General features: G+C 33.3%; 1 long non-coding RNA gene across 1 annotated transcript in view; it reads right to left on the reverse strand.

Moving 5' to 3' along the window:
* LINC02882 (long intergenic non-protein coding RNA 2882) overlaps window positions 1-25,240 on the reverse strand; it is a 159,459-nt gene that overhangs the window by 53,743 nt on the left and 80,476 nt on the right. Inside the window, exon 4 of the long non-coding RNA NR_038300.1 lies at window positions 7,159-7,238. This is a non-coding gene — a long non-coding RNA (long intergenic non-protein coding RNA 2882). The remainder of the gene's footprint in view (window positions 1-7,158; window positions 7,239-25,240) is intronic.

Below are 25,240 nucleotides of genomic sequence, written 5' to 3' on the forward strand. Positions count from 1 at the left end.
TATGAAACAGCCGAAAGGCAATTAACAAAATGTCAACAGTTAAGTCCCTACCTATTGATAATTACCTTGAATGTAAACTGACAAAATTCTTCAATCAAAAAGCAAAGAATGACCAAATGGATAAAAAAATATATAACACTCATCTAAAAAAAAAATACAACACATCATCTATAAGAGATTTATGTCACCTTTAAGGATACAGATACATTGAAAGTAAAAGGATGGAAAATATATTTCATCCAAATAGAAACAAAAAGAGAGCTAGGATAGCTATATTTGTCTGAGATAAAAATAGATTTTAAGCCAAAAACTGTAAACAATAAAGAAAGTCATAATTATAAAGTGAACAACTCCTCAAGAAGATATAACAATTTTTTTTTTGTTTGAGACAGTCTCCCTCTGTCACCCAGGCTGGAGTGCAGTGGAGCAATCTCTGCTCACTGCAACCTCCGCCTCTCGGGCTCAAGCGATTCCCCAATCTCAGCCTTCCAAGTGGCTGGGATTACAGGTATCTGCTACCATGACTGGCTAATTTTTGTATTCTCAGTAGAGTCAGGGTTTTGCCATGTTGGCCAGGCTGGTCTCGAACTCCTGACCTCAACTGATCCTCTCACCTTGGCCTCCCAGAGTGCTGGAATTACAGGCATCAGCCACCATGCCCAGCCAATATAGCAACTATTAATATATGCACCCAATATTGGAGAACTTAAATATATAAAGCAAATATTAGTAGATCTAAAGATGAACACAGACTGCAGTTAAATAATAATAGGAGACTTCAGTGCCAATTTTCAATCATGGACAGATCATCCAGACAGAAAATCAGTATGAAAACACTGGATTTGAACTATTCTTCAGAATAAAAATGGACCTAACAGATATATATATAGTACATTCCATCTAATAGTAGCCAAATACACATTCTTCTGAAATATACACTAAACATTCTCATGGATGGATAATATGTCAGACCACAAAACAAGTCAACACATTTAAAAGGATTGAAATCATATCAAGTATCTTTTCTGACCACAATAGTATAAAACTAGAAATACATAAGAGAAATTTCAGAAAAATACCCAAATATGTGAAAATTAAACGATATGATTCCAAACAAACCAATGGATCAAGGAAGAAATTATACAAGAAATTTAAAAATATCTTGAGAGAAAAAAATGGAATATAGGAAAATTTATAAAATTCAGGAATGCATTTCTCAGAGGAAAGTCTGTGGCTATAAATGCTGACATCAAAAAAGAAGAAAGATTCATAATAAACAACCTATACTCTTACACCTCAACAAACTTGAAAAAGAACAAACCCAGAGTTAGTAGAAGAAAGGAAACAATAAAGATCAGAGCAGAAATAAATTAAATAGAAAATTAAAAGATGGTAGAGAAGATCAAAGAAACTAAGAATTGTGTTTTTTAAGGAAAAAAATTAACAAACCTTGAGCTTCTGAGCTTCACTAAGAAAAAAACTCAAGTAAATAAATTCCATTAAAAAACTGTTAGAACTAATAAATATATTTAGTAAAGTTGCAGGATACAAAAGTAACATACAAAATCAGTATTTTTTTACATACTAACAACAAACTATCCAAAAAATTCCATTGTATAGGAGGAATAAGTTCAATAGATATACTCTACCTCATGGTGACTATAGTTAATATCAGTATGTTACATACTTGAAAATTGCCAAGAGAGTAGATTTTAAATGTTCTCACCACAAAAAAAGTGATAAGTATGTGAGGCGTTTAATATGTTAATTAGCTTGATTTAGCCATTGCACAATGTATACATATATAAAAATATATTGTACAACATATTTATACTTTAACTTTTTTACTTATATGTTACAGCTTTTATGTTGATTAATAAAATAATAAAATGTCTGCTTCATTGGTCTTCTCAGACTCATTTAATGTTATATTACTACATATATAAACATTATATATAATATATAGTTTCTTGAGTTTGCTTCTTCACGTTTTTACTTTTTTTCATTACAAAACATGTTTGTATATATTTAACATAATAAAGTAACTTCTACTTGTCATCTTAGCTGTGTCTTAAATGATTTGTTATGTGGTATTTCATTTCAGTTGAGTTCCTAATTTATTTTATTTTTTTCTCTTGAATCATGAAGTATGTGAAACTATAGGATTTTAGTTTTTTCTTTTTTTTTCTTTTTCTTTTCTTTTCTTTTTTTTTTTTTTTTTGAGACACAGTCTCATTCTGTCGCCCCGGCTGGAGTACAGTGGTGTGATCTCAGCTCACACTGCAACCTCTGCCTCCCAGATTCAAGCAATTCTTGCACCAGCCTCCTAAGGGACTGGGATCACAGGCATGCACCACCATGCCCAGCTCATTTTTGTATTTTTAATAGAGACGGGTTTTTGCCATTATGGCCAGGTTGGTCTTAAACTTCTGGTGTGAAGTGGTTGGCCTGACTCAGCATCCCAAAGTGCTGGGATTACAGGCATGAGCCAACACACCTGGCTGTGTTTCTTCTTTTTATAATTAATTTATAATTAAATACCCTTGAAACCAAACAATGAATGAATGAAACATATATATAAACATATATATACATATATATATATACACACACACACACACCCCTGTGTGTGGGCGTGTGATATATCACACACACATAAATATACCATATATAATATGAATTAATACAAATTTGTAAAGACTGGCTTTATTACTTAGTTTAAAGGGTAATTTTTCATACATAATCTATAGTTACTTGAAAAGAGTATGCTTTCTACTGTGGTAGGGTATAGTGTGCCCCTCTCTTTCTCTTCTGTCTCCTCTTTTTGTCTTTCTCTGAAATCCATTAGGATATTTGCTTTATCAATTACTTGCTCTTTTTTTGGGTGTGTTGGCTCAAGCCTGTAACCCCAGCACTTTGGGAGGCTGAGGCGGGCTGATCACTTGAGGTCAGGAGTTCGAGACCAACTGATCAACATGGTGAAACCCCATCTCTACTAAAAATACAAACGTTAGCCAGCCGTGGTGGCACATGCCCCAAATCCCAGCTACTCGGGAGGCTGAGGCAGGAGAATCACTTGAACCCGGGAGGCAGAGGTTGCAGTGAGCCAAGATCACACCATTGCACTCCAGCCTGGGCAACAAGAGCAAAACTCTTGTCTCAAAAAAAAAAAAAAAAAGTGCTCTTTTCCCAAAATTTCTGTATCTATATTAATTTCATATATTCAATTTCTTTAGAACATATTAGAATTCTCTACTATGACTTTAGTTTAATTACTTTTCTTCATATTTTCTCCAACTTTCACATCATGTATTTTGTCTATATAGTAAGGCATATATAATGCCTTAATTTCATATCTTCCTTCATTCAAAGTTATTTCTTTCATCATCATACCTCCAAAATAAATTATTTCCAACATTATCCTTGCCATACTCATGTTCTTAAAATGTATTTCCATTGGTGATTTTGTTTCTTATTTTTTCAATTTTTTAAAAATATTTAATTTAAGCCTGTTTTTTTTTGCAAACACATATAGATGAATTTGATTGTATTTGATTCAATCCACACTGAATTTAACCCAAAGGAAAATAAATTGTTCTACTGAAAATGTCCTGCACTTATATGTTTGTCACAGCACTATTCACAAGAGCAAAGACATGGAATGGAATCAACCCAGGTGCCCATCAGTGGTGGTACATATACACCATGGAATACTATACAGTCATAAAAAAGAATGAAATTATGTCCTTTGCAACAACATGGATGCAGCTGGAGGCCATATCCTGAGCAAACTAACTCAGAAACAGAAAACCAAATACCATATGTTCTCATTTTTAAGTGGGAGCTAAACATTGGGTACACATGGACACAAAGATGGGAACAATAGACACTGGGGATTCCAAAACTGGAGAGGGAGGAACAGAGGCAAGGGTTGAAAAATTGCCTATCAGGTACTAAGTTCACTGCTTGAATGATGGGATCATTACAAGTTTAACGTCAGCATTACACAGTATGCCTCTAAACAAACCTACACATGTACCTCTTGTATCTAAAACAAAATTTTAAAATAATAATAATAAATGAAATAAAATTCCAATTCAACAACTATAACTTAATTTATATATTGTAATGCCTGATACTTTTGGGATCAACCTTGCCCTTTTTTTAAAAAAGCACATGATTTTAACATGTGTTAATTAAATAATATATATAATTATATAATAATATTAATAATACATTTCTTTAACATAGCTACTTCATAATTCTCAAAAAGTTTCGTATATCAAAAAGTGAGGTTTTTTAAATTTGTATTTTAGTTATTACAGGTACTTAATAGTTGTATTATCCTCTTATTTTGTGTTTATTTCCATCTATTTTTCTTCATCCTTCCTTCTTTCTGTGGATAAATTAGAGCTGCATTTAAATCAAATCTAAAGTTAAGTAAAAGAAGAGAAACGTTTCTGACTATACCCTAGGCAGAGTAAATATTGATTTGCATTCATTATCTTACTCCATTCTCATAAAAATCCTATTAATTTACCATTAGCATTATTTCTATTTTTTCAAAGGAAGAAGTTGAGGCATCAACTGAATAAATAATTATTCAAGGCCATGAACATTGCAAAGGTAGAACTAAGTCTTAGGTCTTCCAGCCCCAAAGCCTGTGTTTTGTCATGTGCAGTACATTATCTTAATTCCATCATGTTCAAATAATTATAACCAATAGTCAATAATGCATTTTTAGGCATGGATAAAAACGATAAAACTCTTAGTTATTCTAAACAGAATTTCCTAGAAAGCTTAACAAATTCCCCCAAAGAAACAGTTTTTTACTCCACAAATTTTTAAAATTGGCTTAAAAGTTGAAATTTTCAAACTAAAGGATTAAGAAAACACTTTTTTCCAGTTATTTACAAATGAGCTAACTTCTAGAATATCTGTTCCATCTAATTTTTGCCATAAAATTGTAGTTTCTACAAATCTCTATATGATTTAGTCTTATGCAATAGCCAGTACTAAATAAATATGACCGTACCGTATAATATGTTTTTATAAACATTAAATAAATTCATGCAAAGTACACCACATGTTTATATTTCTAAAGGCAAAGCTTTCTGTTATCAGCAGTGACTTCAAAAGAGGTAGAAGACAGGCACAATTTCAGACTGATTTCTCAGCTAACATTCAGTCATTTTTTAAATAATTTATACAAAACTGCATTAAACAAAAATGACTGTTTTAACTATTTTTCTTGCTTAAGAGAAATCACAAGCTTTAGCTCTTTAGGTGAAGCTGAACTGACTGGTACTGAATATCTGTCAGTTTGGTTTATTGCAGTTTGTCTACAGTGCAGATTTTTGTGGTAAGAGCCAATGGATACTTGCTTGGTATTAAAATATCTGCTATACTGTTTCTGGCTCTGGCTTTTGCTTTTTCTTGCATTTTATAGGTTGGCATAGATTCTGCCAAAATATGTTCTACTTTATATACAAGATGCTGTTGTAGTACTTCTAATAGCTTGAAATAGGAACACTGGAGAAGAAGGTTGTTTTTATTTAGTAAAACAAACTTCCATCATAAAAAACATTGGCTTCAACATAAAAACGGGATTCTGGGAAAATGATGGCAGTAACATTATATTTAATCTCAAATATCTTTATAAAAATAGAGCAATGAAATAGTAAAGTGAAATCCATGAACGAAATTTATAATATAATTAGGTTGCAAGTTATCCCTACAAACCCGAAATGCAAGTGGGTGGGGAGAAAACATGGCAGTTACAAGCCCTGCGTTATCTCAGCCTTTGTACACATGAAAGCCTAGAGAAACAACCAGACATCTTAAGATCTGAGAACATAAGGTTCACCAGGGGCCAATCTGAAAACAGCAGCAAAGTCTGGGAGGAGTTTTGCCTACTTCATAGTCGGGCAATACAATTGTCTGTTAGGAAGGTGTGAAGGGGTCAGAGAAATTTAGTCTCTATGAATTACTGAAACTGAGAAAAGAGTTCCACACTGCGTGGGGGGAAACAAAATCAACTACTGAGAATTGAATTAAAACTTAACCAGGGCAATAAAAATGAGGACAAAAATGTCTACATAAAAGTGAGGGAGGGGCCTGCTGGGGCAGGAGGAGTGGCAGTTAGGTGGGCTATGCCAGATGATCTCAGGCATCTCTGCTGACACCGGTGAGCAAGCTTTGTCTCTAGCTGTATCATCATGTTATGAGGCCATCCCATCCTGTCATTGGCATTCTAGTGTTCCTGCCGGGATTTTACCCCTGTGCATTACCTACCATGCATCCAAAGGCTGCTGGGATTACTTTTATGCTGTCATTTCAGATTTTGATGACAAGCACACATCTCAGACTTGAAGAGAAGTCACAGTGGGACTCCGCCCAGCTTTAAGATATTGAGCAGAAACTGCGGCTAAGGGCTAAGGAATTGTGCAGTTTGCAGATGTTTAACAAAATAATTGCCAGATTTTATGGGTCCATTCCAAAGATGTTAACTGAGCTTATAATTAGCTAATTAGGACAAGCTCTGCTTTTCATCTCCTGGTTCTGGCAAAAGCTCCTGACAAATTTTTCCACATGAATATGTATCATGGAAGAATAGCAATGTTAATTGCCTGAGAAAATGGGAGTTTATTCTTTAGTGGAAAGTGTTGCCACCACCACTCTCTTTAGAGTTGAGCATTTCTTTTAGATAGTCTTCACTGTGAATTTGTTCTTGCAGCAAGTGGAAGAATGCAGTGTGTCTAATTTCTTATTACTAAGTAATTTATTTTTAAAAAATCTAAGTAACTAATCCCCTACACTTAACTTTACCTTCATGCTGTAGTGAAAAATCTTGGTAAAATCAAGTATCAGTGTGAGTCCATCTGTAATATTTTTTAGTCGCTTTCTCATTGACAACAACTGGGACTTTATTTTCTTAAAATATTTTTTAAAGTTCTGGGGTACAAGTGCAGGATGCGCAGGCTTGTCACCTAGGTAAACTTGTGTCATAGTGATTTGCTGCACTTATCAAACCATAACCTAGATATTAAGCCCAGCATGCATTAGCTATTTTTCCTAATGCTCTCCCTCCCCCCATCACACCCTCCAACAGTGTGCCCACTGTGTCCAAGTGTCTTTCATTGTTCAGCTCCTACTTACAAGTGAGAACATGCAGTGTTTGACTTTCTGTTCCTGTGTTAGTTTGCTGAGGATAATGGCTTCCAGCTCCATCCATGTACCTGCAAAAAACATAATCTCATTCCCTTTAATGGCTGCATAGTATTCCATGGGTATATGTGCCACATTTTCTTTATTCAGTCTATCATGGATGGGCATTTGGGTTGATTCCATGTCTTAGATATTGTGAATAATGCTGTAATGAACATATGTGTGCATGTATCTTTGTAATAGAATGATTTATATTTGGTGGGGGGTATATACCCAGTAATGGGATTGTTGGGTTGAATGGTATTTCTAGTTCTAGATTTTTGAGGAATCCCCACACCATCTTCTCCCACCCATCAGAATGGCATTTATTAAAAAGTCAAGAAACAGCAGATGCTGGCAAGGTTGCTGAGAAATAGGAACACTTTCACACTGTTGGTGGGAATGTAAATTAGTTCAATCAGGACTTTTTAAAATCACAGAGCAAGGTTTCAAAATGTAAACATTCACTGTTTACCAATCCTTGGCCAGCTTTGATCTGTCTGGTTGACCCAAAGGTTGGACGACATACAATTTGGGTTACTCTGTCCTTTGTAGATCAAGATGTTCTCTATATCATGTCTTTAAGGACTAGACTTTTGGCCATTTCCTAATGAAAAATACAGATAAGTTGTTATTATTTAGAGTCTATAACCCTATTGCCAGCATCTTCTATTATGATGTCATTCTGCTAACGATTGCAAGACTCAGCCTGGATCCTTACAAGACTAGATTGCCTTAGGTTGATTATGTTTCCTAGCTTGGAAAACATGACTTATATTCAAAAGAAATTAAAGTGTTGAAATCCAAATCCTAAAAAAAAAAAAAAAAATGTGAGGCAGGGGAATTAAGCCAGAATAATCTTATATTTTTAAATACAAAGTGGAAAAAAATATGAGACCTCTGTAAAGTTAGAAAAGCTATTCTGGTACAAACTGGCTTTTCAAAGTCAAGAAATCTAATTTTATATAAAAATCAGCATATGAAAATAAGCCTTGGGTATATCATTAGCTATATAGAAATAAGACTAAATGAGAAGAGAATATAGAGTATAAAGGCTATATGCTAGGACAAAGTAGGTATAGTAAAATCAGATATAGCTGAGAACAAAAAAGAACACATGCAAAACAATTAAGTATACCCAATCATTATTTTAGTTTTGGAAATATTTGCATTGTTATTCCAAAACTATTGTGAATATGGTTTAGAATAAGGCAAATGAGAAATTATTGAATACTGAAATCTTATCACAAAACCAGTATTCTAATGGCAAAAGGAAGAAAGTAAAGATATAAAGTAGAAAATGTTGAGTAGTCCTGAAGTCCTGAATTTGAATTGGAAATCAGGATGAACTCATTAGTCTCTTTATCTGTCTATTGATGAATTAATTATTCTCTTTTTCTTTCAAGCTCCATAAACAACATAGTAAAGGAAAAAAGTGGATGAAAATGAGCATTCCTAGCACCCAGACAGTAGTCTTTCAATACATTTTTCCACTAAAGAAAGTGAGGGCCTCTTGAAAAAATGGCTGATTCCAGGTCTGAGGCTAAGAATAACCAAAACAAGCCTGGGGTATTTTGTCTGTTACTATCACATCAAAAGGAGACAGGATCCAACTTGAAGATGTGCTACTAGTCAAAGATAGACAACTTAATAGAAAAAAGATAGGACAATCTGAACTCCAAACTGGGTTGAATTTATACTCATAAATGGAAACCCATCAAATATGTTTAAATGCACGAGTTCCTAATCATACTTTAAAATCTAATTAGTTACTTTCAGGAGATGAGATGGAACAAATTTTCTAGAAATATGTAAAATAAAGGGAAGGACCAAGAACTTATTCTGTTTTCTCCCCAAATGTTAATTTTATTAATATTTTATTGTTACTTAATAATGAAATAAAATGCGTATTAACACTTAAATATAATAAATAGTACATATGCTGATATCCAATTAATAGGTGAGGAAAAGTGAAAACTTTACAATGTATTCCAGCTAATAATAATTGTAACAGAAATGATCGGATTCAATTCTCAATAAATTAATGGATCTAGGCATTAAGCATGACTAACAACTAACACATAAAAAGAGACAAGGTGGAAAAATAAAAATCATGTGTGATCTTGCCAAAAATATCTCACCTAAGTCTAATTTCTTCCAAGTTGGAGAAAATATAGGGGACAGTGGAAACAATCATTAGCGTAAAATTAGCAAAATCCAGATGGGGGAAATTTGCAATTTAAATGAATTGTGTTTTTCAATTTGAAACATGGCAAGAAAAAGATGGCATTCGAACCTGTAAATTAACAGACTTAAGATATACAACAAATTTTAAGAAAATATGTAATACTAAACATGTCTAAAGATGCATATGTAGATAAAAAAATAGATATACAAGGAAACCATTACATAAAAGACAGGATTATATTTATTTATTGAGTGTTGTGATCAAGATTGGGCAAATGAAAAGGTTTCAGAGCTTTCAATCTATAGAATTCCCCCCATAGATATAATTTTTTAAAATAAAATAACCTTTTATATTTAGCTATATAGTATGATTTTTATTTAAACATTATATCAAAAATTTTTTACATCAATAACTATGCATGTATAAAATATGCTATATATGTAGTAATCTATTACATGGATATAACAGAATTCATTAATTGTAATTAAATTCATTAATTATTTTTGATAGATTATTCAATTTTTAAAAATTATAAACTATGCTATATTGAAAATAGCTAAAATTTGCAAAACACTTCTATATATGTGATTGTCAGGCTAAAAGATATTTAAAAAATTATTAAGGATTTGGTATGTATTGATAAATTATTCACACAAAAATTTTGTGCATGTTTGCATATTATGGTCTCTCCTATTTGTGGTTATAATCCTTAACATATTCATAAATGTAATAATTCTTTTTTATTTACACATTTAATATGTTCTCATTGCTAAAAAATTAAAAACAAATAAAAAGTTAAAATTAAATTTTAGAAAACAGATATTCAGGATGGGTCAGTGACCCATGTCCTTGAATCCTGATCATAATATAATTGTATGACTCATGCCAATCTCTGGTCACCTGATGTGTCAAATGGTATCTTTCTGTTATTTGATTGTTAGTGTAAAGATTGATTTTTAGCTATATTTCATTTTGTTAAATTTATTTTCATATTTACCTATTTTTCTATTAAGCACTTCATTTTTATCCTATTCATTTCTAAGAATTCCTTATACATTTAGCATAAATTTCCTGTATCACTTCTGTACAATTTCCAAATTGTTGGCCTTTTATTTTTACTTTCTTCCCCCATGTCATCAGTGTTTTTTTTCCCAATATAGTCCTATATTGCTTTCATTATGTCTTCTGCTTTTCTCTTGTATTTGACACTGGTAATTTAATTGTTCTTAATTTTTATATTTAAATATTTTATATTTAAATATTAACACCCTTTGCAAAACTTTCAAATTCTCCCAAATTCAAGTTGTTTCAAAAATAAAGTTTCATTAAGATCGATATTTATTTGAAATTAATAGTAAAATTAAAAAGCACTCAATCATAGATAGAAGTGTATTGATTGTAGGATAAACCAAAAGTTCTGTGAGAAAATTTTTGGGATCAGAGAGTGTTTTTTACACTGTGACATTAATAACTTGGTGTCTTGCCAATTAATTCATCTGATCTTCCACCTATTCCCTTGCTGACTATGCTCTAGCAACACTGGTCTTTCTACTAATTCTTGAACATGCTATTTAGGCTCTGGCATATGCATTTCTTATTTATTCAGCCTGGAGGTATCTTTCCTCAGACACACGAATGGCTTGCTTTTTTTCCATGTTTAGTTCTACATTAAAATGTCTACATTTTAGTGACATTTTCTTAAACTAGTCTCTTTGAAATGGCAGCATCACTCTTTTGACCTTCCATCTCACATAGCATTACCACCATCTGATGGATTGTCTTTACTTATTTATTTATGTTTGGCCTATTTTTACAACAAGAATCTAAGCTCCAAAAAGAGCAGTTATTTTCCCATTTTATTCAATTCTGTAGCAGCCCAAACCTAGATTAGTGTCTATGACATATCATATTCTCTATAGGTATTTATGGAATTTATGAAAGACTGTAAATTTATTATTACAGCTTATTTATTCTGCAGCCATTATTGACTAATGATTGTAAGGCTTTCCTGACATTAATGTTGTATGATCTAGACATTCCAATTTCTTAGCATATTAGAACTCTTGGCTATTGGCGGCAACTTACTTGCATCCAAGAGATTTGCTGCCTGCTTACGTGGTGACTGAACCACCTAAGGCCCAGGAAAACTAGCAAACTTCTCTCTTTTCTAGTGGGTTGCAAGTACACTTATTCTTTAGTTTGAACCCCAATCTTGGTAAGAAAGCTTTCCTACCAAGTTTATGTTTTCCTGGGGAATCTCTTTCAGTCCTACTCTACCCTTATATCTGAGTTACCCTTTCAACAGATTTCAATGATCTTCACATTAAACTTCTGTTTAAATTACTGTGCGCTTTCTTTCTATTGACTGGACCCAGCATAATGCAAATACCATTTATAAAACCAAAAACATAAAATGATAGAGATGATTAAAATATATAAATATGTAAAAGATCAGTACACTAAAAATGAAAAACTATTGATGAGAAAAAGTAATACCTAAGTAATTAGAAAGATACAGCATGCTCCTGAATTTAAAAAGAAAACTTAATTTTATTAAAATACACATTTCCCCCAAAATGATTCCTAGATTTAATACTATTCTAAACAAAATTCTATTATGCTTTCTAGTAGAAATGTAAATTTCATCTACATTGTCAATTTGCTAGTGTAACACTGTTTAAAATTTTTCTTGTAATCTTTGTAATGTAGGTAGAATAGGTAGTAAAATTTCCTCCTTTGTCCCAGATATTGGTGATTTCAGTATTTTCTGTTTCTATTTGTTTCATTATGTTTTACTTATTATTTATCAGTCTAGCTAGGAGATTATGTGTTACCTTTATTTCTGGAGAATCATCTTTTGCCTTTATTAATTTTGCTTATTGTTTGTGTTTTTGATTGTTAAAATTTGTTTTCAACCATTCTGCTTTTATCATCGATTCCTTCCTTCTACTCCAGCACTCTCTATTCTGTTTTATAGACTTATTTGTTTATCTTGATGCCAATACTGTACCATCTTGATTTCTTTAGCTTCACAATAAGTCTTAAAAACAGGTGATTTTATCCCTTCAACTTTATTTTTATTTTGAATGCTGTTTTAGCTACTTTGGATTCTTTGCATTTCCATATGAATTTTAGAGAGAATTCATCAGTTTTCCTAAATATTCATTTAAGGTTTTTATAGAAATGACATTTAATTTGTAGATCAATTTGGAGGTGTATTAGACCTTTTTCACATTGCTGATAAAGACACACCCGAGACTAGTCAATTTACAAAAGAAAGAGGTTTAATTGGACTCACAGTTCCACATGGCTAGGGAGGCCTCACAATCATAGCAGAAGGCAAGGAGAAGCAAGTCACATCCTTTGTGAATGGCAGCAGGCAGAGAGCTTGTGCAGAGAAACTCCCATTTTTAACACCATCAGATCTTGTGAGACCCATTCATGATCACATGGGTCTTTCTCACATGAATGGGATCATGAACAGCATGAGAAAGACCCGCCCTCATGATTCAATCATCTCCCACTGGGTCCCTCCCACAACATGGGAGGATTATGGGAGCTACAAGATGAGATTTGGGTGGGGACACAGAGCCAAACCATATCATTCCACCCCTGACCCCCTCCCAAATCTCATATATTCATATTTAAAACCAATCATGCCTTCCCAACAGTTCCCCAAAGTCTCAACTCATTTCAGCATTAACTCAAAAGTCCACAGTCCAAAGTCTCATCTGAGACAAAGCAAGTCTCCTCCACCTATGAGCCTGTAAAAACAAAAGCAAATTAGTTACTTCCTGGATAAAATGTGGGTACAGGCATTGGGTAAATACAGTTATTTGAAATGGGAGAAATTGGCCAAAACAAAGGGTCTACAGGGCCCATGCAAGTCCAAAATCCAGCAGGGCAGTCAACTCTTAAAGCTCCAAAATGATGTCTTATGACTCCATGTCTCATATACACGTCATGCTGATGCAAGAGGTAGGTTCTCATGGTCTTGGGCAGTTCTGCCCCTGTGGCTTTGCAGGTACAGCCTCCCTCCTGGCTGCTTTCATGGGCTGGCATTTAGTGTCTGTGACTTTTCACGGCACATGGTGCAAGCTGTTGGTGGATCTACCATTCTGAGGTCTGGAGGACAATGGCCCTCTTCTCACAGCTCCACTAGATGGTGCCCCAGTGGGGACTCTATTGGGGGGGCTCCAATCCCACATTTCCCTTCTTTGCTGCCCTAGCAGAGGTTCTCCATGAGAGCCCACCCCTGCAGCAAACTTCTGTCTGGACATCCAGTCATTTTTATACATCCTCTGAAATCTAGGCTGAGGTTCCCCAACCTCAATTCTTGACTTCTGTGCACCTGCAGGCTCAAAACCATAGGAAAGTTTGGACCCTCTGAAGCCATGGCACAAGCTCTACCTTGGCCCCTTTTAGGCATGACTGGAGGAGCTGGGATGCAGGGCACAAAGTCCCTAGACTGCACACAGCACAGGGACCCTGGACCTGGCCCAGGAAACCATTTTTACTTCCTAGGCCTCCAGGCCTGTTATGGGAGGGGATGCCATGAAGACCTCTGACATGCCCTGGAGACATTTTCTCCATTGTCTTGGGGATTAACATTTGGCTCCTTGTTACTTAGGCAAATTTCTGTAGCCAGCTTGAATGGGATTTTCTTTTCTATTGCATTGTCAGGTTGCAAATTTTTCAAACTTTTATGCTCAGTTTCTTTTTTAAACAATGTGTTTAACAGCACCCAAGTCATCTCTTGAATGCTTTTCTGCTTAGAAGTTTCTTCTGCCAGATACCCTGAATCATCTCTCTCAAGTTCAAAGTTTCACAAATCTCTAGGGCAAGGGCAAAATGCTGCCATTCTTTTTATAAAATGTAACAAGAGTCACCTTTGCTCCAGCTCCCAACAAGTTCCTCATTTCCATCTAAGGCCACCTCAGCCTGGACTTTATTGTTCATATCACTAGCAGCATTTTGGGCAAAGCCATTCAACAAGTCTCTAGGAAGCTCCAAATTTTCCCACATTTTCCTGTCTTCTTCTGAAACCTCCAAACTGTTCCAACCTCCATCTGTTACCCAGTTCCAAAGTCACTTCCACATTTTTGGGTATCTTTTCAGCAGCAACCCACTCTTCCAGTGCCAATTTCCTATATTAGTCTGTTTTCATGCTGCTGATAAAGACATACCCCAGACTACTCAATTTACAAAAGAAAGAGGTTTAATTGGACTCACAATCATGATGGGAGGCAAGGAGGAGCAAGTCACATCCTTCGTGGATGGTGGCAGGAAAAGAGAGAGCTTGTACAGAGAAACTCCCATTTTTAACACCATCAGATCCCATGAAACCCATTCACTGTCATAAGAACAGCATGGGAAAGACTCACCTCCATGATTCAGTCATCTACCACTGGGTCCCTCCCACAAAACAGGGGAATTATGGGAGCTAGAAGATGACCATATGAGGAGGTTAATTTATATCTTAACAATATGTCTTTTGACCTATGAAAAAGTGTGTGTCTTTATTTGGGAGGTTTTCCTTAACTTCCCTCATCAATGTTTTGTAGTTGTTAGTGAAGATTTCTTTCCTTGCCATGTCAGATTTGTCTCTAAGTATTTAATATTTTTATCTAATGTAAATGTATATATATATAACATATATACATATATATTTGTAGCAAATATAACAAAATATTTTTCAATTTAAATTTTCAATTATTTGTTGCCTATATATAGAAATGCAATTGATTTTTATAATAATCTTGTACTTATTTGTGTTCTGTAACCTTACCTTTCTTTGTAGACTATATGAGATATATAGACAATCATGTCATCTGAAAATTAGACAATTTTACTATTTTCTTTCCAATCTAAAGAACTTTGTTTATTTTCTTACCCTTATTTCACTGACTAGAGTATCTGGTACAGTGTTGAATGAAAGTGGTAAAAGTAGAAATTCCTCTTGTTTCTAATCTTCCGGGAAAAGCATTCAGTCATTCACTATTAAGTATGATGCTAGCTATAAGTAGTTCATAAATGCCCTATCAAGTTGAGAAAGTATCTTTATTTCTACTTTGAAAGTTTTTATCATGAATGTATCTTGAATTTTGTCATTATATTTTTCTGTCTATTAAGATGATAATTTTTAAAGAAATTTAGCTAATGAATATGATGAATTACATTGATTGACTCCTCAATATAAAACCAAACTTGCAGTCCTAGGGCAAAATCTACTTGGTAATAATTTATTATCTTTCATATTGTTGGATTCTATTAGCTAAACTTTTGTATATAATTTTAGCCTCTGTGGTCATAAAAGATATTGGTCTGTGGTTTTCTTTTCTTCTAATGTATTTGGCTGCTTTTGATAAAATAATAGTTTTGATTTGATAACAAGAATTGACAAGTATTCCCTCCTCTTCAATATTCTGGAAGAATTTGCGTAGAATTGCTCTTAATTCTTTCTTAAATATTTGGTAAAATTCTAAAGTTCAGCAAGGTAGGTCAGCATTTTGGGGGCTTATTTTTAACTACAAATTCAATCATATATATATATATAGTGCAAATTCAGATTTTTCTATAATGTCTATAGTGCATTGTGTCTTTAATTTGTACATTTTATCCAAGTTGTCAAATTTACTGGCCAGAATTTTTCATAATATCCCCTTAATGTCATTTTCAAACCTGTAGAATCTAGAGTGATATAACTGCTGTCATTTCAGATGCTGTTAATTTGTATCTTGTTTAGTTTGTTGATCATCCTGGCCAGGATTTTATCAACTTTATTCATCTTCTCAAAGAACTATATTTTGATTTAATTGATTGTCTCTATTGTTTTTATTTTACATTTAATTTATTTTCAGTCTGGCCTTTATTATTTAATTTGTTCTAAAAACCATGACTTTGATCATTTTCTTAAAGTGGAAGTTGAAGTCATTTATTTTGAGATCTTTCTCTTTTTCTAAAATAGGTATTTAGTGTCATAAAATACCAAGTACTGCTTTAGCGGCATTTGCTGTTTTTAATATGTGTTTTTAATTTTCTCTCAGTTCAAAATATTTTATAGTGTCACTTTTTATTTCTTCTTTGACATGTGGGCTATTAACACCTGTCTGATTTAGACTTTAAGTGTTTGAATAATATCCAGATATCCCATGTATTTGAATATATTTTTATTTTCATTCAGTTTTAAATATCTTTAAGTTCCCTTGGGATTTTTCTTTTTTTACGTATATATTTTTCAGAAGTGCTTCAATCCTTTGAAATGTGTTGGGACTTTTTATGGACTAGCATATGGTCTATCTTGGTTAATGTCCTCTGTTTTCATGCTGCTGTTGTAGTATCTAGTCTTTTATACATATCAGTTAAGTCAATGCCTTGATAGTGTCTTTCAGATAATTTATCAACTTTGAAAATATACCTGTTTTATTAATTCCTTAGAGATGGGTTTAGATACTTACAACTATGATTATGGAATTGTTTATATCTTACCTTAATTCTGTCAAATTTTGGTTCATGTAAATGTGTCTACACAAACATTTACAGTTGCTATGTCTTCCTGGTTAATTTACCCTTTAATCATTACTATTGAGGGAAAAGAGAGAAAGGAACCAGTTAGGCAGATAGCTAGGACAAGTCCTTGGTAGAATTCCTTTTTTGTTTTTTTTTTTTTTCTAACAAAGGAACAGCCTGAAAGATCAGGAGGCAAGGATGGATAAGGAGGCAAGGTCCACCATAAAGATGCCTTCTGTGTAACTAACAAGGGTCATGTATACATGGTAGGATTCAGTAAGCACATTCCTTCCCTTTTTTTGGGGACATACACAGGTAAGGGAGTTTGCACAGGGAAGGGAGGTGGGAGACTTGCTTAAACATGCCTAAGAGGAGTAACACAGAACCTAGCACGTTTGCAATGAAAATTCCACCCCCTCACACATGCGCAGAAAGGGAAATTAAACAATATAAAGTAACTTAGGCTAAGAGTTCGCATGCATGCTAAAAGGACATGGAATTTGCACCTTATGCAAATGAACACCTAGTCCTAACCAGTTTTTTGCTCCTTATGTAAATGAAATATCTCGCCCTACTAGCCTGTTTATAAAAGCCCATGTATTCAATTGTAGAAAAACAACCCTCTTTTGGGCCCCTTCTTCTTTGTGGAGAGCTTTCTCCTTTCACTTATTGAAGTTTCACTCCAACCTCACCCTTGTGTTCATGGCTCTTTAATTTTCTTGGTTGTGAGACAAAGAACTCTGGGTCTTACTTCAAACAACAAAACTGAAACATTGTGGTGCACTGGCAAGGCTGCTACAGCATTTTGATGTTCTTTACCGTTTTCAGAGATCCAAGTTACTTTTGTCATCATTACTCTTCAGTTTGGGAAACTTCATTTAGTATTTGGGAACTTTATTTTAGTGCAGGTTTTCTGGTAGTAAATTCTATTAGCTTTATTTTGTCTGAAAATGCCTTTATTTTGCCTTTATTTTTGAAGGATATATTCCCAGGATGCAGAATAATTAGTTAACTTTTTTCTGGTAATTTAGAGTTTTCTAGCCTTCATATTTGCAGATGTCAGTAGTCATTCAAGAGATTATTCCCAGTATGTAATCTGCCATTTTTGTCTGACTTTAATATTTTTCCTTTATCTTTCCTTTTTGTCACTTTGATTATTCTGTACCTATAATGGTTTTCTTTGTATGCATCCTGCTCAGATTTACTGAGCTGCTTAAACTAATACATTTATATCTTTTTCTCACTAAGGAAAATTTTTGGCTTTTATATACTGAAATATATTTTCTAACCATTTTTTCTCTCTCCACCTTCCACTACTCCTCTTAAACATATGTCATACTTTGTGTTATGCTTTCTTGAATTCCTTAGGTTTGGGTAATATTTTTCAAGATTTTTCTCTCTGTGTTCTTCAGATTAGTTGGTTTGTATTGATCTATCTTCAGGTTCACTGATTTTTTTCTCTTAATGAATATGTATCTTTTCTTAAAATTTCAGATATCATAGTTCTGTACTTGCAGAATTTCCATTTCATATTTTTTCTATTAATATTTTAAATATTTTCATTAGTTATGAACACACTTTTTTAAACTTCACTAAGCATTGTTATAATATCTGGATTAAAATTCTTATCTGCAAATTCTTATCTGTGATCACAGATTTGGGTTGGATTCATTGTCTTTTCTATTGAGAACAGAGCACATTTCTTGGTTCATAGTCCTTTAACTAATTTTCCACTGTACTTTGGACAATGTTAGTATTTTCTTTGAAGACTCTGGGAGTTTTCCAAAGAGTGCTTATACTTTAGTGTCAGTCAGCTGTTAACTTGGTTGGACTAAAACTTTAAACTCTGCTCTTTGGTGGCAACTCAGACCTGTAGATTGATTTTGTCTTATTTTTATTTTACTTTAGCTAATTACATTCTATTCATGCATGGCTTAAAGTCAACCAAAAGGTTCTTCAGAGTTTACCTATGCAACTCTGGCATGTGCTCTCAGGCTCTGCCATTTTGCCTTAACTTTCTAGGTGGCTGTATTTGCCCCAAAGTTATTCTCTTTTTTTCTTAATGCCAGATAGACTTCATGCTTTTATCAAAATTTCAACCACCCAACATGGAACTGAGTTTAATCTACCCTCTTGCTAATGGCTATTAAAAAAGCAAGTTACTCTGCAACTTTCATATTTTAACTCCTTTCAGAAGTTTCCTGTTTTGCTTTACTCACCAGTGCCTACTGGTCATTTAGTTTTCTCCACATTTAATGGTTGTTATCTATGGGTGAGTGAGAAATTGTGGAAGGTTACTCAATTTACTGAAAATGGAAATTTGAGCAATTAATGTTTTAAATGTTTTCTAATATAATTCAGATGGGGAAATTATAATGTTTCACTGGAACCACTGGACTTTAATATGGAATAAATGATGCCTCAATCCTTATGTAACATCATACAAAAAATTAATCTGAAATGGGTAATTGTCTAGAACTGAAATGCAAAAACTTAAAATAAATTTAAGGACACACATACAAAAATACCTTATGATGTAAAAGCAGTTGAAATTTGCATAGATAGTTCACAAAAAGCAATACAATGAAAGAAATATTAATAAGTACATGTAGTAAGCAATCTTCAAGATAACCCTGGATATCCCCTGGTACTTCCTGGTCTTCACTCCCTGATGTAGTAGTCCCTCCCACCCAATACTAGTGTTGGTGTGTGTAACCAATAGACAATGGCAGAGGTGATAGTATGCCATTTTCTGAGGTTAAGTTTTATCAGACACTATAGTTTCCATCTTGGCCTTTCCTCTCTTGAATAACACTCTCAGGAAATTGAGTTGACTTGTGATAAACAGCCTTATGGAGAAGCCTATGTAAGCAGGAACTGGAGACCATTCAAAAGCCATGTGAGTGAGCTTGGAAGCAGATTCTCCAGCTCCAGTCAAACCTACAGCTTTAATGCAGCCTCATAGGAGATCTGAGCCCAGAACCATCCACCTAGCTACTCCCAGATTCGTGATTCTCAGAACTATATGAGATAATAAATGTTGTTGGTTAAGCTGATTGTTAAATAGTAATAGACAACTAACAAATGAGATTTTATTAAAAATATTAAAAATTATGTTCTGTTAAAGATGCTACTAAGAAAATAAAAGGCAAGCTATATACTGGGAAAAATTACTCAAAATAAATATATGTAACAAGTATTGTAACCAAAATACATAAAGGCCCCTTGGGGAAAAACCCAGCTTAAAAATGGACCCCAAAAAATAGATACTTCACCCCCCCAAACAAATAATACAAATGGTCAATAAAAACATTTAAAAAGCTTACCATCATTAATCTTCAGGGAAAGGCGGTGCACGGTGGCTCATGCCTGTAATCCCAGAACTTTGGGAGGCCGACGTTGGTGGATCACCTGAGGTCAGGAGTTCCAAGACCAGCCTGACCAACATAGTGAAACCCCATCTCTGCTAAACATACAAAATTACCCAGGCATGGTGGTGCATGCCGGTAATCCCAGCTACTTGGGAGGCTGAGGCAAGAGAATCACTTGAACCTGGGAGACAGAGGTTGCAATGAGCTGAGATCAAGCCATTGCACTTCAGCCTGGGCAACAAGAGTAAAACTCCATCTCAAAAAAGAAAAAAAAGTCTTCAGGGAAAGAAAAATTAAAATCACAATGAATTACCACCACCCATCAACTAGAATAGCTAAATGTAAAAGGCTGGCTATTCCATATGTTGGGAAGAATATGAAACAAGTGGAATTCTCCTTGACTGCCAATGGGAATTAAAGTGGTAAAACACTTTAACTTTGGCAGTTTCAAACACTTTAAGAAACTTTGGCCGTTTCTTAAAATGTTAAATATACACTTATCATACAGTTAGCATATGATCCAGCAATTTTTAAGTTATTCACTATGTATTTACCTGAGATAACTAAAAACATATGTGTAAAAAAGACCTGATGTGAAGGTTTACAGTAATTTATTCATAAAAGTTCCAAGTGGTAAATACTGCAACTACCCATTAACTAATGACTATTTGAATGCATTGTTTTGTATCCATACACTAGAATAGTTATTATTAATATAAGGGACAAACTACCGATACACTAACTAGATGAATGTTATGTTAAACAAAAGAAATCAGACATAAAATACTAAATACTGTATGATTTCATTTATACTAAATTCTAGAACATGCGAAACAATTCAGTGGTGAAAGCAAGCAAATCAGTTGTTGTCTAGAGGTAGAGGGTGAGGGTCAGGGGTTTGTCTGCAAAGGAATAAGATGGAATGTTTTGAGATAATAGCATCATTGAGGTGCTGATTTCATGAGTACATGTATTTGTGAAATTCATCAAACTGTGCCTTTAAAATCTGTGTATTGATTTATACATAAATTAAATTTCAAATAAGTGTATTTAAAAAGACAAACTTTTGTCAAGTAAATGAAGCTGTGCATTTTTTTATTTTTAAAATAGAGGTTGAATATCTGAGATCATAGGGTGTTTAAACACTTTAAGATCATACCCTAATTGTTAAATAACAGACATAGGAAGTTTTTACAAGTTCTAAATTTAACATCTACAAATACTTATTCTGTATTTAAATAAACCACAAAGATAAGGATGCTGGCTTTTGTAAACCTTGTGTGCTTATGTGTTAGCTATATATGTGTGTAGAAAGGAATAGAAGAGGGGGAGAGAAGAGACTAATAGCATAAGAAAAAAAGAAATAAAAATAAATATGTCGTTCTACACAAAATTAGAACTAAAGTTTGCTCACCTTTATGTCAATAAGAAAATATTTAGAACCCCAATTATTGAATATTTAAAGAGACACATGAACTATTTCTACATAATATGAACTGTAGCTACAAAGATAAAAAACATAACAATGCTCCTAATTTAGCTATTTATATACTTTGCATTTTACCTTTTCACTGTCTTTTACATTTGCCTCTAACTTATTTCATGTTAGAGAAAAAACACTAAGGTTGGATACTGGAGAACAAGATCTCTGTAACTTACTAGTTATAAAATAAACTTAGGCAAATAATTATGTGATCTCAACTTAATCATCTGTGAAAGAGAAAAAAAGGATGCATTTTTGGGGTTTCAATTGAGAGTGTGACTAAATGATGTCAACATTTTTCTAAAGTTTTAGATTTTGTAGTTAAAATTAGATTCATAGTTTATATACACTCACACATAAATACACACATATGTATATTAATACTTACAGAGGGATAATTTATACTGAATTTGGTTTTGAATTGCATTCTGTATTTAAAAAGCATAATTGTTTTTAAGCATTATTAAGGTATAATTGAGAAATTAAAACTTTATATATTTACAGTGTTCAAAGTGATGTTTTGATATAACTATACATTAAGAAATGATTAAATCAAGCTAATTAACTTATCCATCACCTTATATATATTTTTTTGAGTGAGCTGAGAACATTAAGATCTACTCTCTTAGAAACGTTCAAGTATACAATACATTCTTGTTGACTACAGTCACTATAGTCACTATGCTGTCCAATAGGTCTCTAGAACTTACTCATCTTGTCTCAGTGAAACCTTAAATTCTTTCACCATTTCTCTATCCTTCAGCCCCTGTCTCAGGTCCTGGAAATCATCATCCTCCTCTCTACTTCTTTGAGTTTGTCTTTTATTCATTTTCACATATAAGTGAGATCATGCAGTATTTGTGTTTCTGTCATGGCTTAGCTTATCTTGCATAATATCCTCCAGGTTCATCCACATTGTTGTAAATGACAGAATTTTAGTTTTTATTACTTTTTTAGAGGCTAAATAGTAATCCATTGTGTATATATATTACATTTTCTTTATCTGTTCTTAGGCTAATTCCACATATGGGCTATTGTGAATAATGCTGCAATGAACATGGGGGCACAAATATCTATTTGCCATACTGATTTTATTTCCGTAGAATATATATCCAAAAGTGAGATTCTTGAATCATTTTATCCCACACCATATATAAAAATCAACTCAAATTGGATTAACGACTTACAAGACCTAAAACTACTTGAAGAAAACATATGGAAAATATTTCTTGATAGTGATCTCAGCAAAGATTTTTTTGGATATGATCTCAAAAGCACAGGCAAAAGATCAAAAAGTGTGCAAGTGAGATCACATCAAAATGAAAAGCTTCTGCACGGTAAAGGTAACAATCAACAAAGTGAAGAGAATATATATAGAATACGAGAAAATATTTGCAAATCATATGTTTAATAAGGGGAGAATATCCAAAATATATAAGGAATTCAAAAAGGTCAATAGCACGGAAAAACTAGCAATTAAAAATGGAGAAAATACCTGAATAGACATTTCTCAAAAGAAAACATACAAATGGCCAATAGGTATACAAAAAGTAATCATCACTAATCATTGGGGCTACGCAAATTAAAACATCAATGAGGTATCACCTACAAATGGCCAAGAAGTGTGTAAAGAATGCTCACTATCACTAATCATGATGGAAATGCAAATTAAAACCACAATGAGGTATCACCTTACACCTGTTTACAATGGCTATTATCAAAAAGACAGAAGATAACTAATGTTGGTGAGGATGTAGAGTAAAAAGAAACTTTGTACATTGTTGTTGGAAATGTAAATTGGTACAGCCATTATGGAAAACACTGTTGGCATTTCCTCCCAAAACTGAAAAAGTTATTCTTAGTTTTGACTATTTACATAGCTAATTCAATAAATATTCATTTTGCTGAAGTCCAAGACTTAATTTTTCTCTCTAGGAATCTCTAGGTGTAGACTGTAAAGGGTGAATGAAAACAAAAAAATTTAATAACTTCTCAACAGTTATACACACAGTTTCTTAAATACGTAATTTACAGTATCCATGCTATTACTATTATCACTATTATTACAATAAACCTACTGCATAAATTTTCTCATGTTCTATAAAAATGGCATTAAATAGAGTTTGAGTAGTTACTGGTTAATTATTTGATCTCAAACATAACAGATATATTCCCTATACATTTTTAACAATGTGTTTTAGTTTTCTGTCCTCAAGACACTGGCAAATAAATATGGCAATTGGCAAAGGCAGCTGTCAAAATAAATAGTTGTTTTCCTCCACACACATACATTGTTTTATTTTAATTGTAGGTGGGATTTTGTGAACTCATCACATTTTGGGAATTTTTTTTTTGTCTATTCTAAGAGCAAGACAGCAAAAATAGAATTGTAAATTCCAAAGGTCTCCAAAATCATTGATGCCATTCAATAAAAGTATGAGAAATAAACTATTTGGTGTTTATAAAAGCATCAGTTAGCAAAACTTGAAGGTCAGTATATCAAAACTTCTCTTCAAAGTTGAAATACATGATTTTCTGTCATATTAGTCAGTATTGTTGCAAGTCTTTTAAATATATGGGTCCATAAAAGGGGCCAAATGAGATACAAGAGAAAAACATATACTCTGAAAAAGAAAAGATTCTTAAAAGATACAGATCATACTCACAGATTCATGTTAATATATATTGCACTTTCCCTGTAATTCTAGGATTTTTCTTTCTTTTTATGGGGGGTGAGTGGTGGATTACCTACTGGTAGTTCATATACCCACTGCTGTAAATTAAAACACATCTTTCAGCATTGATATGAAAAATGACAGTAATTATAAATAAATAGCCATCAATACAGTGTGTTTCCCTGATGATTTACTAATACAGTTCTTGCAAACTGTTGATGGGAATAATCAGAGCCATGCATTTTTTATAGCAATTTTCCTTTGAAACTTTTGTGTAACATAAATGTTACCTAGGAGAGATAGGGAGAATTTGAAAAAACAAAAATTTACAAAAATGTTGGATAGTATTTTCATGTACATTATCACTTTATGTATAACTAATCTTTTTCCTAATAGTTATAAATTTAATCACAATATACGATCCCCTGAGTTTAAATTCCAGGTTCAACATCTTGACCTTAGGCAAGACACATAACTATAAGCATCGGTTTCCCTATCTATTGTTAAAAGAAAACCTTTTAGCTCAATTAAGTTTAAAGTTTAATTGAGCAAAGAACGATTTGCAAATCAGGTAGCCTCCAGAGCCAGAGTAGGCTCAGAGACTCACATGCAGCCTTCTGGTAGAAAAAGATTTATAGACAGAAAAGGGAAAATGATGTACAGAAAACAGAAATGAGGAACAGAAACAGATAGATTGATTATAGCCTGGTGTTTGCCTTATTGAACACGGTTTGAACAGTTGGCCACCTTTGATTGGAACAAGAGTCTGTTTATAACTTCATTTAGGTTATAGTTCGTGATGTGCAGA

The sequence above is a fragment of the Homo sapiens genome, chromosome 12 (assembly GCF_000001405.40).
Source record: "Homo sapiens chromosome 12, GRCh38.p14 Primary Assembly".
Lineage (NCBI taxonomy): Eukaryota > Metazoa > Chordata > Mammalia > Primates > Hominidae > Homo > Homo sapiens.